Source organism: Homo sapiens, chromosome 4 (genome assembly GCF_000001405.40).
Source record: "Homo sapiens chromosome 4, GRCh38.p14 Primary Assembly".
NCBI lineage: Eukaryota > Metazoa > Chordata > Mammalia > Primates > Hominidae > Homo > Homo sapiens.
The window spans coordinates 90,892,640-90,910,864 of record NC_000004.12 but is presented as its reverse complement, the minus strand read 5'-3'; the positions used below and the strand labels follow the sequence as shown (position 1 = coordinate 90,910,864).

The following is an 18,225-nucleotide window of genomic DNA, read 5'->3' as shown; positions in this document are numbered from 1 at the left end:
ATGAGATGCTTTCAGTTTTTGGGTCCCCATACCTCAGGAAAAGCAATGTGAGGTTTTAAAAAATTGCAGAAAAGGACAAAGGGATAGGAAACTTATTTCAGGTTTGTATGTTTAAAAAATGGGTCAAGACTCTAAACACAAACAGAAATGAAGGAATGTCAGTAAATCAATAATACAACATCTGGATAACATATTTATTTTTATTCAGCCTTATGCTACCTGAACTAGAAAACTGCCTGACATCCTTCACTGTGACCACTCTGAGAGCAGATTGCAGGTGATTTTTACAAGAAATAATAGGGCTTACAAAATTAAACAGTATACTTTATATTTATGGAATTGAACACCTATAAGAGATTGTACAAACTAAAAATATGACTAGATTTAAGAACTTGGGTGATTTCATTTATGAATGAGACAGACTGATAAAAAATATGAATTGGAAAACTTAGTATATTTAGAGATTGAAATCATTAGGAATACTTGTACCCAGATAACTGTGCGTCATATTCTAGATGTAAAGGATATGTAGTTTTGTTTTGCTTTTTGTTTTTAATGAGTAATATGGTTTGATTCTGTGTCCCCACACAAATCCCATGTGAATTACAATCTCTTTGTATCAGGGGAGGGCCCTGGTGGGAGATGATTAAATCATGGAGGCAGATTTCCCCCTTGCTGTTCCCTTGATAGTGAGTTCTCACGAGATGTGGTTGTTTAAAAGGATGGCCCTTCCCACTTTGCTCTCTCTTTCTCTCTCTCTGTCTTTCCTGCCACCATGTGAAGAAGGTGCTTACTTCCCCTTCTCCTTCCATCATGAGCATAAGTTTCCTGAGGACTCCCAGTCATGCTTCCTGTTAGGGCCTGTGGTACTGTGAGTCAATTAAACCTCTATTCTTTACAAATTACCCAGTCTCAGGTAGTTCTTTATAGCAGTGTGAAAATGAACTAATACAATGTGAGTTGAATTATGATTTCTATTTCAATTCTAAAATTTCCAGTTTCTAGATTTTTTCAAAGAGTACATTGCAGTATATTTAAACACTGGCAAAGTTTCACTAATAATGGATTATACAAATATATATTTGATTTCTTTAGTACTTAAGACAGGCTAATCCATTTCTTCTAGTTTAATACTCTTACCAATAAGGTAAAGCTAATTAAGAAAGGCCTCGTAAAGAGGGACATAAAAGAGATGGCTTTGAGTTAGATCCTTTAGAAGCTAGAAACACAAATTTCCAGGATAAAAACAGTGGGCATTTAGTGACTGATCAGGAAAGGCATGATAGAAACTCTGATTGGAAATATCATCCAAATTGCTTTGGCTCTGCCCCTCCACATTCAAGACATCAGTTAATTACATCTCTAAAATGTATTTCACAATCACTTCTTTTTATATCTACTGCCTCCACCCCAGCCTACTACCTAGGGTGCAGAGGGGAGTGAAGTATAGATGTGTGCTGGGTGTGTACAAGCCACCACCACCTTTTATTCCAATGGCCTCTGCACTGTCTGGAACTGTGTACCTCCAAAATTCATGTCTACTTGGAGCCCGTGAATGTGACTTTACTTGGAAATAGGGCCTTTGCAGATATAATCACATTAAAAAGAGATTATACTTGATAAGGATTGGCCACAAATCAAATAAGACAAGTGTTCTTTATAAGAAGAGGGACATTTGGACACAGCTACACAGACACACAGAAGAGAGGGTCATGTGAAGACAGAGGTAGAAACTAGAAAGTGTAGATCCATCTACAAGCCAAGCAACTTCAAAAATTGCCAGCAACCATTTGAAGCTAAAAGAGGTCAAGAAGACTCCTTTTCTAGAGCCCTCAGAGGAAATATGGCTCTGCCCACATCTTGATTTCAGATTTATGGTCTCAAGAAAGACTTCTGAGAAAATAAATTTCAATTGTTTTAAGTCAGCCAGTTTGTGGTACTTTGTTACGGAAGCCACAGGAAACTAATACAGCCTCCTAACTCATTTTCCTGTCTTCATCCATACCTTCTCCACTACATAGTTTCTGTAAATAATAGCAGAGTAACATGAAAATGTAATTTGGATCACATCAGTCTCCTTCTTGAACACACTAACAGTTTTCCATTCCAATAGAGTAGTCATGAGGCACAGGTGACAAATGAGCACCTGAAATGCAGCTGCTGTAAACTGAGATGTTTGTGTCAAATACACAATGGATTTTAAAAGAATCAGTACAAAAAAGTTTCACTCACAAAATATTTCATGAATAACTATATATTTATTGCATCTTAAAATCATACGATTTTGGATATATTAATTTAAGTATAACATATTTAGCATACTAAATTACACACATGACTACCATTTGCTTCTTGTTTTATACTGTTATTGCAGCATTCTGGTTTATATAATAAAAATTAAACTTTTTACCATGATGTACAGCCAGCCCCTGCCTTATATCACCTTATCTATTTTATCACCTTCATCTCATATTAACACAACTCTTTCACTTGCAAACATGACTCTCCTCACACTCATTTTCTTTCAGTTTCTTGAATGGATCAAGATCTTCACCACTTGAGGAAGTTTTAACCTACTATTCCTTCATCTGGAATCTTCTGCATATTAGGTGCCACTGCCTTACAGATATTCTTTTTAAAGTAGATTCTTATCTCCAAGTGATTCTCTGTCTTAATATCTTTTTTGCTAAATGTCATTTTGACTGACAATTATTTCTTTTATTTGTGGTTTGCCTATGTTTGGTCTGCCTTCTGCACTAGTATTTAAGTTCCTTAGAGCAGGGACCATGTTTATTTAGTACCATATTGACTCCACACTTCCTTATATACTTTTAGGCACACTCTAGATACTCTATTGTTTTTAAAAAATGAAGAATTGGGTGGATGAGAGAATATGCATAAGGCTGGAGTGGCATCAGAGATCAGCTTTTGAACTTGACATTTGCAGACACATTTGCTATTGGAAGTTAATATTGATGACATGACAAGTCCAGCAAAATTTCTGGCATTTGTATCATATATAAATTTAAGTAGGGAAAGATTGGAAATGAAATCTGAACTAAGGGTTTATTCCAGTAATTCTGGTCTGCAAAGATACTTTATGATAAGACAAAAGAAAGTAAGAAAAAAAAACAGTACAAAGAGAAAAGTGAGGATATTAAACAACGGGTAAAAATCAAATATACGTCTGAGAAATTGATACTGTAACATCACATGACAAATGTTTACTTTCATACGCAGATTAGAATTTCTTTTATTAAAAAAGAATCTTATATACTCCATTTTCACTATTGCCTGAATTTTACATTGTGAGTGAAAGATTAATGAGGTGATTCATCCAATTAATGATGAAAATTAATGAAAATTAATGAGGTGATTCATCCAAAGGATGACGATTTTTTGAATCATCATCCAAAAAATGATGAATACAGACATATCTTCTACAGGAAATAGGTCCAGAAGAATTTTTCAACACATCAAGTCCCAAACATTCCCTCACTAGCAGCATCCTGGTGTAAACAGATACATTCTATTTGTCAGGGGCTCTCCATTCCCTTGGCCCATATTTGCATTAGGGAATTTCTGCTCTACATCTCTCTCACTTTTATTCATCTATAAACTGGTAGGTGACCTTGGGATAAAGAAACATACTCTGCTTCTTATTGACATGATCTGTCTACAGGATGAAGTTTCAACTTGTCTAGGCATAAGTTTATAGGCTCTTGCCCTGTGGTAAAGGTCTGCAATTTTCCCTTTATGTCAGCAACTCCAGTAGGTCACTTCAGTTCAGAGAAGAATGTACTAGAAGCTTATATGGCTGCATTCCAATACAAGTTAGGATAGCATTGCATTATAGTTCAATTTGTCTGAATTTTCTATTTTGCAATTTATTGCCCCCCTTTAAGCCTCAAGATGTGCACACGCACACATACAAATACATTCACACACACAATGAATTTGGAGTAATAGGGTTTGAATATAGGCATTGCGAAGATTTAGGAGAGTTAAAATGGCACTGACTAATACAACAACCATAAGTCCTTAATTCAACCTTGAAAATTATTCTCATTAAAAAAAACCAGAACCCTTGCATCACTAGAAACAGAAACCTGCCAACAGTATTGAGACTGAGATCTTGAATATATGATAAAGATTTTTCCAGCTTTAACTTGCTTGATATTTTTATTGAGGAAGATCAGGATATAATACCCTGCCCACTTAATCACTATGGTTTAAAAATAAGATTCCTATTTTAAAGAAAATATTCGGTTTTTTAGGAGATTGTGAGCATTTTATTTTATGGTATTGATTTAATTTCAATGTGTATAAAAATTCTTATAGTAAACCGTGAAGTGACACAAAAGTCTCCAAGACAGTCATTCATTAACAGTAATATGCTGATGACAGCATTCCAGAAACACAAGCATAAGGGAGACAAGAATAAGATCACTAGACACTTGCAGAGTCAGCATGGTATTACAGGTTGACGATCAGCTAGAAAACAATTGATGTCATGAATCAAACTTCACCAGACAAACTGTATACACAGACCAAACTTCACTGACAAACTCAAGAAATTCTGAGTGCCATGAAATTCATTATCCTTCAAGTTTCCTTCAGCATAGTCATGAGCAAAAATTAAAAATAAAGTCAAATCCGTATATGTATTATCTGAATAGCAAAATATAAGAAGACAGAAAACCTAAAGAGATTACACGTGACTAGAGGAATTACTCAGTTGCTTTAGATGTCTGTTTATTCATCTTTCAAATAGAAATGGTAGCAAAGACATTTAAAGCTGGACTTAATTGATTCCAACAAATATTTAATGAGTATCTGTAATTTATTAATTCAGCCATCAGTAATAGCACATTTAATTATGCAAATTAAACTGTGCTCACTTTTTCTCTCTGTGTAATTAGAACTAAAATAAAATTGTATATTTAAATATACATTGTATTATTTTGCATATTTATATTTATAAACAAAACTAGTTATGCGACATTTTGGCTAAATGTTCACAGTGAGCCCTTTTAGAGTCCAACTCCTGAGTAGGACACAACTCCACTATACAGCTAGCAGAAGAGGCGCAGGCCCCGAGCAAAGGAGTGGGATGTATAGAGAGCAGCACACAATGCTCTCATGACATAGAGAGTTGTAAGCAAAGGGTCATTGTTCTCGCTATTTCACTGCTTCTACTTCGAAGGAGAGATAGACTTCCAATAAGCAAATGTTTTACCAGGTAAAAAACGACAAATTTTGGTAAGTGATATAAAGGGAAGTTAGGAGAAAGAATAACATAAAGATGCCATTTCTATTTGACACTCATGGTGGGCCTTAGTGAAGAAATGACATTTAAGGTTATAGGACAAGGACACAGCCAGGCAGTAAGCAAGGGATTGTTTCAGAAAGAAAAACTGGATAAAGTTCAAGAGGCGTGGGGGAGGAGTATATGCATTTTTTCTTAAGAAACTAATATATGTGTGTGTGTGTGTGTGTGTGTGTGGTGTGACTAGAACGTAGTGAGCAAGGAGAATATTGGCACAATTGTAGGCTCTACAAAATGCTCAATTTTATGTTTAGATCAGTGGGAAATCATAGAAGTGTTTCTAGCACAATTCAATTGTATTTAACCAACATCATTCTGTCTGTTGTATGCAGAAGAAATTAGAGGTAGGGATGATATCGGAGAAAGGAAATTTAGAGGATAATGCAATTGTCTAGAGGAAATGCTTTTTGCAAAAGGGATAGAGTCCTATCTATTTTCCAGACTCAAAATAAGAGTTAGATTTAAAAGTGAATAATTAATTGTAATTGGTAGGTTTAGCAAAAGGGAACAGTAAAGAACAACTCCCAAGTTTCTGTTCTGAGCAAATGGGAGGCTGGTTGATGGTGATATTCCTGATATGAGAAACACTTCAGGAGAAGCAGGTTCAATTGGAGATGGGATGAATGGGCGAAGAAGAAGCAGGATGAACTGAAAATAAGGGTGAATGGGAGATACTGAGCATAATGAAAAGTGAGATAACTGTGAAACATCCAAGCAGGTATGTAGTGATACACATCATATAACAGGGTTTAGCTGATGAAAGCTATAAATACTGCTAGTATCTGGGCTAAGAACACAAGGAATCTTTACATGAATGCATTCGTTGTTTCAGATGGTTGCAAACATGCTACTTTTCTGACCAGGCCCCCCCTTATTGCTCCCGTCACACATACATACTTTCCCGGGAACTTTACCTTCCTCCACTCATGACACATGGCTAATGCCAGAGCATTCAGGCATTATAATATGATCACACTGTCATGATTCATTGATTTTTAGGGAACAGATCCTCTTTCCAAGCTAGAATAGGAAACCTTTCTGGCAATTATGGTATAAGGAATAAAAAGAAAATAAGTTAATATTTTTGTGGTACTTAAGTCAAAAGTAAAAAAGCTTGAGAGCAAACAATGGTTAAGTTTATGCTCAAGTAGAACAGAGAAATAGCAGAGGTTTGCTTCTACAAAGAAAAAGAAAGAAAACAGGAAGCAAAGAAGACAAAATTAAAGAACAGCACAAATGAGTGCAGAGAGTGAAAGTATCAATTGTGTTGTTAATTACAGTTGGTATTGGCACTGGCTCTCAGTCCTGTTTGATGAGTCATCCCCATGGTCTTTTGATAAATTTCCGTTTAGTTTAAGATAAATCAAATTGTCCTTCTGACAATTACAGTCAAAAGAGAACCAGTCAAGGAAAAGATAAAACCAAGACCAAGAGTCAAAGAAACAAAACCAATTCAAAAGAAATAAACATATAAAAAGATCTCAGTAAATGGTGTTAGAATCATAAGTTGCCAACTTCATGTACAGTTTTGTTTCCTGTCAAAAAAAATTATTAATTTTTCATTTAAATAAATTATTAGGAATTTAAAAATCAATAGTAAAATTTTAACTATAAAAGGTAAAAATTCATGTATGTCTATGTTTACTACTTTCAGGTTGGTTACTATGTTTACCTGTCTTACCTATTTTTTTTTTTTTTTGAGACAGAGTATCACTCTGTCACCCAGGCTGGAGTGCAGTGGTGTGATCTTAGCTCACTGAAACCTCCACCCCTGGGTTCAAGTGATTATCCTGCCTCAGTCTCCTGAGTAGCTGGGATTACAGGCACCTGCCAATGCATCTGGCTAATTTTTGTATTGAAGTAGATCTGTTCCCTGAAAATCAATGAACCATGACAGTCTAATCATATTGTGGTGCCTGAAAGCTCTGGCAGTAGCCATGTGCCTTGAGTGGAGGAAGGTGTTTACTTTCCATTTACTTGGTGGTTTTGGTATTGATTTCTAATTTTATTGCACTGTGGTCTGAGAAGTTGCTTGATATGTATATTAGTCTGTTTTCATGCTGCTGATAAAGACATACCCGAGACTGGGAAGAAAAAGAGGTTCAATTGGACTTACAGATCCAGACGGCTGAGGAGGCCTCAGAATCATGGCAGGAGGTGAAAGGCACTCCTTACATAGTGGTGGCAAGAGAAAATGAAGAAGATGCAAAAGTGGAAGCCCCTGATAAACCCATCAGATCTTGTGAAACTTATTCACTACCACGAGAATAGCATGGGAAAGGCTGGTCACCATGTTTTGATGACCTCCTCCTGGGTCCCTCCAACAACACATGGGAATTCTGGGAGATACAATTCAAGTTGAGATTTGGAGAGGGACACAGCCAAACCATATCAATATGATTTTGATTTCTTTGAATTTATTGAGACACTGTTTATGATCAAGAATGTAGTCAATTTTAGAGAATGGTCAATGTGCGGTGGTAGCAGCCAAAGGGTGTACCTGCCAGCTGCAGCTGTGCTGCATTCAGGAACAAAAGGTTAAAGTCTATATAAATGAACATGTGCCCTGTGAGAGGGGCATGATAGGGAAGTGGATCATGTCCCTGCCTGCTTAGGACAAGGAGCTAGTGCACCATCCCCTTGTCCCCTCCCCTGAGATCTCAATACACCCAACAGGATCTCTGCCTGCCATATCCCACTTGGTCAGGGCAGGTGCTTCCACTCATCATCAACCTACTTGAGGGCAAGACAGATGTTACTCTTAATCACCATCTACTGGACTGGATCCTGAACTGTACAACCAAATTAAAAACCTGCTGCCAGAAGGGCTCACTGCTAGTCCATAAAATAAGCTTCCTGAGTCCTTCCTCCTCACCCTAAGCCTTGCAGGAGGCATATGTCTAACACATCACTACAACAAGCAGCATCTGAAAAAGCCAGAAGCTAGCCCCAAATAAGGAACCCAAACAGAGCACTGGGCCCCTCAAAGCACCCAGAAATAAAGCCAAAATATCATAGAAAACATACAACACAATCACACATTCAAGCATTCAAGGGAGAAAGGAATACAAAAAAAAATCTTCCATCCAAATGATAGCAAAAACAAAAATAAAAAGGTACATCTCCCTTAGATGAGAAGGAATCAGCACAACTTGAGCAGTACAAAAAGCCAGAGTATCTTGATATCTTCCAAAGGATCATACTAGCTATCTAGCAATGGATCCTAACCAAAATTAAAAATCTAAAATGACATATGAATAATTCAAAATATGTATTTCCAGGAAATTCAGTGTGATCCAAGAGAAAGTTAAAATTCAGCACAAAGAAACCAGAAAAAAAATGCAAGATATAAAACATGACATAACTATACTAAAACAAAACAAAACAAAATAAAAAAAATAGAACTTATAGTATTGAAAAATTCATGAAAGGAATTTCAAAATACAATTGAAAGCTTTAACAATAGCCTAGATCAAGCAGAAGAAAGAATTTTAGATATTGGAAGCCAGTTTTTGAATTAACTCAGACAAAAATAAAGCCAAAAGAACTTTAAAAAATGAAGAAAGTCTTTAAGAAATATCGGATTATGAAAAACAACCAAACCTATGACATATTGGCATTCATGAGGAAGAAGAAAAAGACAACCTGGAAAACACTGGAAGAAATAATTTAGGAAAATTTCCCTAACCTTTCTAGAGAGGTTGACATCCAAATACAAGAAAGAAAATCAGAGACCACCTGTAAGATACTACACAAGATGACCATCACCAAAGCACATAGTCATGAGATTATCCAAGGTCAACATGAAGGGGGAGAAAAAAATCTTAAGGGCAGCTTGAGAAAAGGGACAAGTTACCCATAAAGAAAATCCCATTAGACTAACAGCTGACTTCTCAACAAAAACCTTATCAGCTAGAAGAGATTGGGGGCCTATTTTTACCCTCTTAAAGAAAAAAACATGCCAGCCAAGAATTTATATCCTTCAAAATGAAGCTTCATAATCAAATGAATAACGATGTCTTTCATAGACAAACAAATGCTAAGAGATTTCTAGAATGGCCCTATAATAAATGTTCAAAGGAATTCTAAACATGGAAATGAAAGGACAATACTTGCTACCATAAAAGCACCCATAAGTACAAAATTCACAGATCCTGTAAAGCAATTATACAATTGAGACTACAAAGCAACTAGCTAACAATACTATGATGGGAACAAAACCTCACATATCAATATTAACCTTGAAGGTAAACAGCCTAAATACTCCACTTAAAAGACAAAAATGGAAAATCGGATTAAAAAAAAAGAGAGACCCAACCATCTACTGCGTTCAAGAGACATATCTCATGCAAAATGACAGCCCTAGGCTCAAAGTAAAAAGATAAAGAAAGATGTATCATGCAAATGAAAAACAAGAAAGAGCAGGGGTTGCTATTTTAGTATCAGATAAAACAGGCTTTAAATAAACAACAGTTTTTTTAAAAAAAGTCAAATTAGAGCATTATGTGATGCTAAATGATTCAATTTAAGAAGATTTAACTATCCTAAATATACACACATGTAACATCAAAGCACACAGATTTATAGAACAAATACTACTAGACCAAGAGATAGACAGTCATCCAATAGTAGTGGGGAACTGCAACACCCCACCAACAGCACTAAACCAATAATCCAAGCAGAAAACTAACAAAGAAACTCTGAACTTAAATTAGACTTGACCAAATGACCTAAAAAAATCTACAGAACACTCAACCCAAAAATTGCAGAATATACATTTTTCTTATCTGCTCATGGAACATTCTCTAAAATTGACCACATTCTTGATCATAAAGAGATTCTCAACACATTCAAAGAAATCAAAGTCATATCAAGCAACTTCTCAGACCACAGTGCAATAAAATTAGAAATCAATACTAGAACTACACAAGAAAATGAAAAAAACAACAAACAAAATAAAAACCCAACTTGCTCCTGAATGACTTTTGCGCAAATAACTAAAGCAGAAATTTAAAAAGTTGAAACAAATGAAAATAGAGACACAACATACAAACACTTCTGTGACACAGAAAAAGCAGTGTTAAGAGGAAAGTTTATATTACTAAATTTCAAACGAAATAAAATGTTGATTCTTTAAAAGGATAAACAAAATTGATAGACCACTAGCTACATTAACCAAGAAAAATAGATTTCAGTAAGCATCATCAGAAATGACAAAAGTGACATTACAACTGATACCACAGAAATACAATACGTTCTCAGAGACTGCTAAGAACATCTCTACGCAGACAATCTAGAAAACCCAAAGGTAATGGATAAATTCCTGGAACTGCACCACCTCTAAAAATTGAACCAGGAAGAAACTGAAACTCTGAGCCTACCAATAATGAGTTCCAAAATTGAATCAGTAATAAAAATATCTACAAAAAAAAAAAAAAAAACTCTGGGACCAGAGGGTTTCACAGCAGAATTCTATCAGATAGGCAAAGAAGATCTGCAAAGAAGATCTGGTACCAATCTTACTGAAATTATTAAAAACAAACAAGGAGGGGGGAATGCTTCCTAATTCATTCTAGGAAACGAGTATCACCTTGATACGAAAACCTGGCAAGGACACAACAGAAAAAGAAAACTATAAGTCAACATCCCTGATGAACACAGATGCAAAAATCCTCAGTACAATGCTAGCAAACCAAATCAAACAGCACATCAAAAGATAATCCATAACAATCAAGTGAATTTTGTTACTAGGATGAAACAATGGTTCAACATATGCAAATCAATCATCGTGATTTATCACATAAACAAAATTTTTAAAAAACCCTATCATTATCTCAGTAGAGGCAGAAAAAGTTTTACATAAAATCCAACATCCTTTCATGATAAAAACCCTCAACAATCTAGGCATCAAATAAACATATCTCAAAATAATAAGATCCATATATCACAAACCCACAACCAACATGATACTGAATGGTAAAAGTTGAAAGAATTCTTTCTAAGACCTAGAACAAGACAAGAATATCCACTCTCACCACTCTTATACAGCATAATACTGGAAGTCCTTGCCAGAGCAATCAGGCAAGCAAAACAAAGAAAAGGCATGTAAATAAAAGAGAGGAAGTCAAACTATCTCTCTTTGTGATTAAATGATTTTATACATAGAAAGCCCTAAAGATTCCTCCAAAAAATGCCTAGACCTGATCAATGAATTAAATAAAGTTGCAGGACATAAATTAATGTACCCAAAATCAATTGTATTTCTATACATCAACAATATTCAAGCTGACAACCAAATAAAGAATTCACTTCCATTTACAATTGCCACAAAAAATAAAATAAAATACCTAAAAATATATTTCATTTAACCAAGAAGGTGAAGCATCTCTACAACAAGAACTACAATACACTGGTGAAAGAAATCATCAATGACACAAAGAAATAGAGAAACATGATATGCTCATAGATAGAACAAACCAATGTTGTTAAAATGACTACACATCCCAAAAAAATCTACAGATTCAAATAAATTCCTATCAAATGACCAATGTCATTTTATACAGAATTAGAAAAATCAATGCTAAAAATAACATGGAACCAAAAAATGCCTAAATACCCAAAGCAATCATAAGCATTAAAAACAAAACCAGAGACAGTACATTATCCAACTTCAAACCATACAAAAGGCTCTAATAACCAAGACAGTATGGTACCAATACATAAACAGACACATAGAGCAGTGGAACAGAATAGAGAACCCAGAAAAAAGCCACACATCTACAATGAACTAATCTTCAACCAAGTATACAAAAATAAACAATGGGGAAAGTACTCCTTATTCAATAAATGGTGCTGAGAGAACTAGCTAGCTATATACAGAAGAATTAAACTGGACCCTTACTTCTCAACATACTACAAAAATTAACTCAAGACAGATTAAAGATTTAAGGCCAGGGATGGTGGCTCACACCTGTAATTCCACCACTTTGGGAGGCCAAGGCGGGGGAATCACCTGAGGTCAAGAGTTCAAGACCAACCTGGCCAACATAGTGAAACCCCGTCTCTACTAAAAATACAAAAAAAAAAAAAAATTAGCCAGGCATGGTGTCAGGCACCTGCAATCCCAGCTACTCAGGAGGCTGAGGCAGGAGAGTTGCTTGGAAACTTAGAGTTTGCAGTGAGCTGAGATCGTGCTATTACACTCCAGCCTGGGCGACAAGAGCAAGACTCTGTCTCAAAAAAAAAAAAAAAAAAAAAAAAAAAAAAGATGGATTAAAGATTTAAAAGTAAGGCCTCAAACTATAAGAATCCTAGAAGAAAATCTAGGAAAAACTCTTCTGTGTATTCACCTAAGTAAATAATTTATGATAAAGAACTCAAAAGCAAATGGAACAAAAAGAAAAGTAGACAAATGGGACTTACTTAAACTAAAGAGCTATGCACAGCAAAAGAAACTATAAACAGAGTAAACATACATCCTACAGAATGGGAGAAAATATTTGCATACTATGATTCTGATAAAGGACTAAGATTCAAAATTTATAAGGACCTTAAACAATCAACAAGAAAAAATAAATAACTCCATCAAAAAGTGGGCAAAGGTCATCAGACACTTCTCTAAAGAAAACATACAAGTTGCCAACAAACATATGAAAAAACCTTCAACATCACTAATCATCAGAGAAATGCAAATGAGATACCATCTCAAACCAGTCAGAATGGCTTTTATTAAAAAGTTGAAAAATAACAAATGTTGGTATACATATGGAGAAAAGGGAATACTTATATACTGTTCATGGACAATGTAAATTAGTTCAACTCCTACGGAAAATGGTAGAAGATTTCTCAAAGAACTAAAAATAGAACTACCTTTCAACCCCACTACTGGGTATTTACTCAAAGGAAGATCTTTTCATCAAAAAGACACTTGCACTCTTATGTTTACTGCAGCACTATTCACAATAGTAAAGTCATGAAACCAACCTTAGTGTTTATCAAACAAGAATTGGGTAAGAAAATGTGGTGTCTATAAACCATGGAATTCTACAGAGCCATATAGAAGAATGAAATTATGTTCTTCACAGCAACATGGATAGAGCTGGAGGCCATTATCCTAAGTGAAGTAACTCAGAAACAGAAAATCAAACACCATATGTTCTCACTTATAAGTGGGAATTGGAAATAAGGGGTACACATGGATATAAAGATGGAAATAATAGACATTGGGGACTTCAAAAGAGGGGAGGTTATGAGAGGGAGTTGAGGGTTGATAAACCACCTATTGGATACTCTCTTCACTATTTGGGTGATGGGTTCCCTTGAAACCCAAACACTAGCATTACACAATATACCCATGTAACAAACCTGCAAAAGAACCCAGGAATCCATAATAAATAAAAATGTTATGATTTTATATGTATATATTATTTAGAGTAAAAAAAAGTGTAATTGGTCCCCAAATATAAAACAAAATTCAATTGAAATACAATTTTCAGAGAAAAAAGGAAAAATTTGTAAGATTCAATGTCTCATAGAAATTCTTTTAATTTCACTCTCCTTTCTTTACATGTGAATCTGTAATGGTTATGTACCATTGCATTTTGCTGTTGTTATGTTATTTGATAAATCTTGAAGATATTTAGACTAATTTTTGAACCACATTAAACATTTTTTGCATATCTCTATTTTTACTTTCAGTTATTCCTTAAGTTAAATTGTAAGAATAGAATTAATCAAATAGTATTTTAAGAATATCTTCATGGCTCATTCTAAATATTTGTTAAATTGTGTCCCAAAATATTGTTAACAAGCAAAAATGTCACTAGAAATAAAATGTGTGTACCAGTTTTTCACCAGTGCTCCCAGTATTGGATTTATATTTAAAAATATTGGCTAGATTAGTAAACATACTATGTTATTTCAGGTTCATACTGGCTTACTAGCAAGGGAAAATGAATATTACCAGCTGTATGTACACTAACTTTACCTTATCTGATTTGTCTATTATACCAATTTCCCTTCACGACCATTAATTTTAAATAATTATTTTCAGAATATTACCAAAATATTCGTGATGCCAGTCACTTAAGAATAATTGACTTGAATTAGAACTATGAATAATAGTAGAAAGCTGAAACTTGGTGAACCAAAATTATGAAAGATCACCTCTCTCCTTACACTCATTTTATTACTAAAATCTATACAACTTCTTTTTAACAATGCCCATCCCATATGTCAGTTTGCCTACTAGGCATACCCACTTAGATATGTCATAATATCAGCATAGAATAAACAAACTTCGTCATCTTCTAATTTTTTCTTCGTGCAGATTCCTTGTACCAGTGAAAGGCACTGCTATCAAAGAATCTCCCGTTATAGACCCTAGGGGTCATCCTGGATACTTAGCTTCTCACATTTTTCTGGTTATAAGTTCAAATAATTCTTTTTCCTAAATAACTTTTAGAGCTGTTCCTTCCTCTCTGTTTTATCTACCAGTGTTTAGTATAGCCCTTCATATTTTTTCCTCCGGAATCACTGCAGTAACCATTTAACTGTGTTCTCTCTTCCAGTTTTGTATCACTTAATATATGCTCCATACTGCAGCTAAACTCACCTTTCTAAAATAAAATCAGATCATGTTTCATTGGTCCCTTATAAATTCAACATATGTTTGAAATACTTTAGCATTATTCATTTGGTTCTTCATGGTCTGGTCACTGGCTATTTGTATGATATACTACTCTCCAGGACACTGTAAGCCCCAGGGGAGAAATATATATATAATATATACAACTTTCTGTTCAAAGATTCTGATAAGCTCTCTAACATAGGTTTATTTTTTATTATACTTCACCCAAAGCCTCAACTATGTTTACTCTACCTTCTTCAACTGGGCTAGGGACCTTGATCCTTGGTATTTAAAATGTAAATGATTTTATACATTTTACTTCATTGTGAATCTATAAAGTAAAACTAGTTTGATTCCTGCAATTACAGTACAAATGGTTTTCTGTATTTTTATTCTTTTTGAAAGAGGTGCTTAAGGCAAATCTTGTGACTTCCATTTATTCTTACAGAGAACAACCCAGTTTGAGTTGTCTAATGTTACCAATCTCTTGTAAACAATTTTAATACAGAAGTTAATTATAGTGAATTTATCCTTGGAAGCCAATCATCAAATATTTTGCTGATAAAAATATATGCCTACCTAGAGGCAATTTTGCATCTGCTTATATTATTAACTAATTTTCTCCAAGAGGACCATTTTCAGGCACCCTTAAATATTATTGTTATATGATAACATTTACTGATGTTATGTGCCATATGGTTTTTGGCTGGTGTCCTAATGCAAAAGAAAGAATACAGCCAGGATATTTTAAAGAATAACAATCTTATATAATAAATTTATGAGCAATTTAATTTCATTTTAGTGTTATTTCATTTTGAACTGTCTTAAATATTTACACCTGAAGCATTATATTTTGCTCCATGTTTAAATCAACCTAGGGACAAAGTATACATTAAGAAGCTATATATTTTATTAAAAGTGTATACACATAATTTTAGAGTTTTAAAATTTATCTTGATTAATCTAAATTAATTAGTCTATTTTAATCTAATTTTAAAACTGTCAGAGCATAATTTTAATCAAACCACATGCCAATTAAATTGAACTTCCCATTGAATTCCGAGCACTGCCAACTGTAATCACTCATATAGTAAAAAGCTAAGCACAGTGTCCAGCACATGGAAAGTGTCTGGTGAATGATGAGTAGAACCATCATTGGCACTTGTAAGTATGAGAAATGGTACCATTACTACTTGATAATGGAGGAAGAAGAGAAGGGAAAAGAGGAGAAAATGTGAGGAAGGAGGAGGAAAGAAATGGTGAAAGAATAAGGCAAAAATGAACAGGAGAAGCAAGTTGAGAAGAAGACAAAAAAGGGGAGGCAGAGTAGAGAGAGGATAGGGAGAGATGCAGCTAATAGACTATATAGTCAATGTTTCCCGGAACAAACAAGTTGTTTTGGGGAGTAAAAAGAATCAACAAAAAGAACTGAAATTTAAACAAGTATTAGTTGTCTTACAGTATTTGTTGCCTCGGCATTTTCAACACAGGGCCATGCGCTCATGTTGATGCTTTCATGTAAATAAGTATGTGCATAGTATCAAACATAGATCAACTATTTCCTTTGACTGCTGTATTGTTTTAGTTTAAAAAAATGTGATAGGGTGGTTTGAGCCATTAAAATAATGCATGGAGATTTCTTAAGCTATAAAGTAAGTAATATCTAGCAGTATTCAATTGTATTCATAACAGAATACAATTTTGGATAAGATTTCTGGTCTCACTATGTTATTTATTCTACGTTTTAAATTGGTGCATTATTTAAAAATTGCATTTAAACAGAAATTGTCACAAAGATTTATTAGCTGATGCTTGGCATTTTCACACTTCATGAAGTGTCCTTTCAAAGGAATATTTATAAGGCCCTATTTCAGAACATCTATTTTCATTTTACATGGATAACTTTTTTTATTGTAAGTTAAACATAGATTTTCAACTCTACAACAATATTATCTAGCTATAAAGTCAGTGTATGTAAAACAATAAAATAACATAAAATGAAAATATGTGAATAATTTAACACGGGAAATGAGTTTCAGGAAAAATTATAGACTGCTAAATAGAAATTATTTATATAAATAACACATATTGAATAGAGATAAAAATTCACCCCCCACACACACACACACACGCACACACACACACACACACAAGAATTCAGGTGTTCAACAAGATGTCCAACTTGCATGGATTGCTGGTTAATATTTGTAAAAGTAATGCTGAGAACAAAATAAGGAGAGAAAGACAGAATCCAAGATCTAACAAGAAGAATAACAGAAATAAGTCTATTTTAAATGTTTCTGTGTGAAGAGTGAATGGGTGGCCACAGCTTAGGGCAAAGAGAAGCCAGAGACAGCATCGGAAGGACAGTTTAAATTCTCCTTTACCTCTTGCCATCCCACCCTCCCATCTCCTTGTTTTTGGACAATCAATGCCTATCTTCTTTTCCTCAAACTACAGTTGTGAATATTTATATTGGCAGGGGTTTTTCTGGGTGAGGTGAAAGTATGTGGGGGCTGACATGCCAGAGACATTCAGTCCTTTACTTCTGAAATCCAGTTTCCAAGCTTTACAGATTACAGCTTTGTAAAACTGTCCTTTCCTTACATTCTCTTCCCAAAGGATTTAGGAGTGAAATTCTGAGTAGAGTCGTTTCTTGCTTGGTCATTGTAAAATCAAGTAATAACTCTGGTTGGTGGTGTGTGGGACTTTCTGTTAGAAAGCCCATGTCCTATGCCCTAACTCCCACATATATACACCTTGGACTACTCTAGACTGACAGTGACTATGGTCTGGCCTTTGGTCTTTCTCCAACACCAAAAAGCCAATATTGCACAGATAATATGAGCTCACAGGCCAAACGAAGTAGGTGCCTGAGAATAGTAGTACTCAGAAGTTTAGTCCAAAAGATATACAACTAACTGAACAAAATAAATGCCCTCTGTAATCACAGTATTAATACAGCAATCTAATCATTTTATATAAATGTGATATACTACAGTAAATGAATAAACAAAGAAAAGAAAAATTCATAGTACTAGAAGTAATATTCCAGGCATTAGTAATGCAATGGGAGGTGAAGAGAACACAAGGCGAAATAAATGTGGTATACTAATGTGTTCCTTTCATATTATGGAAGATAAAGTCATTTACGCATTTAAGAAATAGAAGTGATTATATATGTATTTTTTAAGTTAAGAAATCAATAATAAAATCGGCCTACATAACTGTTAAACACCACAAGAAAATTTTCTAGAATTGAATTAGG

The 18,225-nt window shown here is 34.5% G+C and overlaps 1 protein-coding gene across 27 annotated transcripts in view; it reads right to left on the bottom strand.

The window, feature by feature from the left end:
- Window positions 1-18,225, bottom strand: part of CCSER1 (coiled-coil serine rich protein 1) — a 1,477,902-nt gene that overhangs the window by 694,431 nt on the left and 765,246 nt on the right. The window lies entirely within an intron of this gene.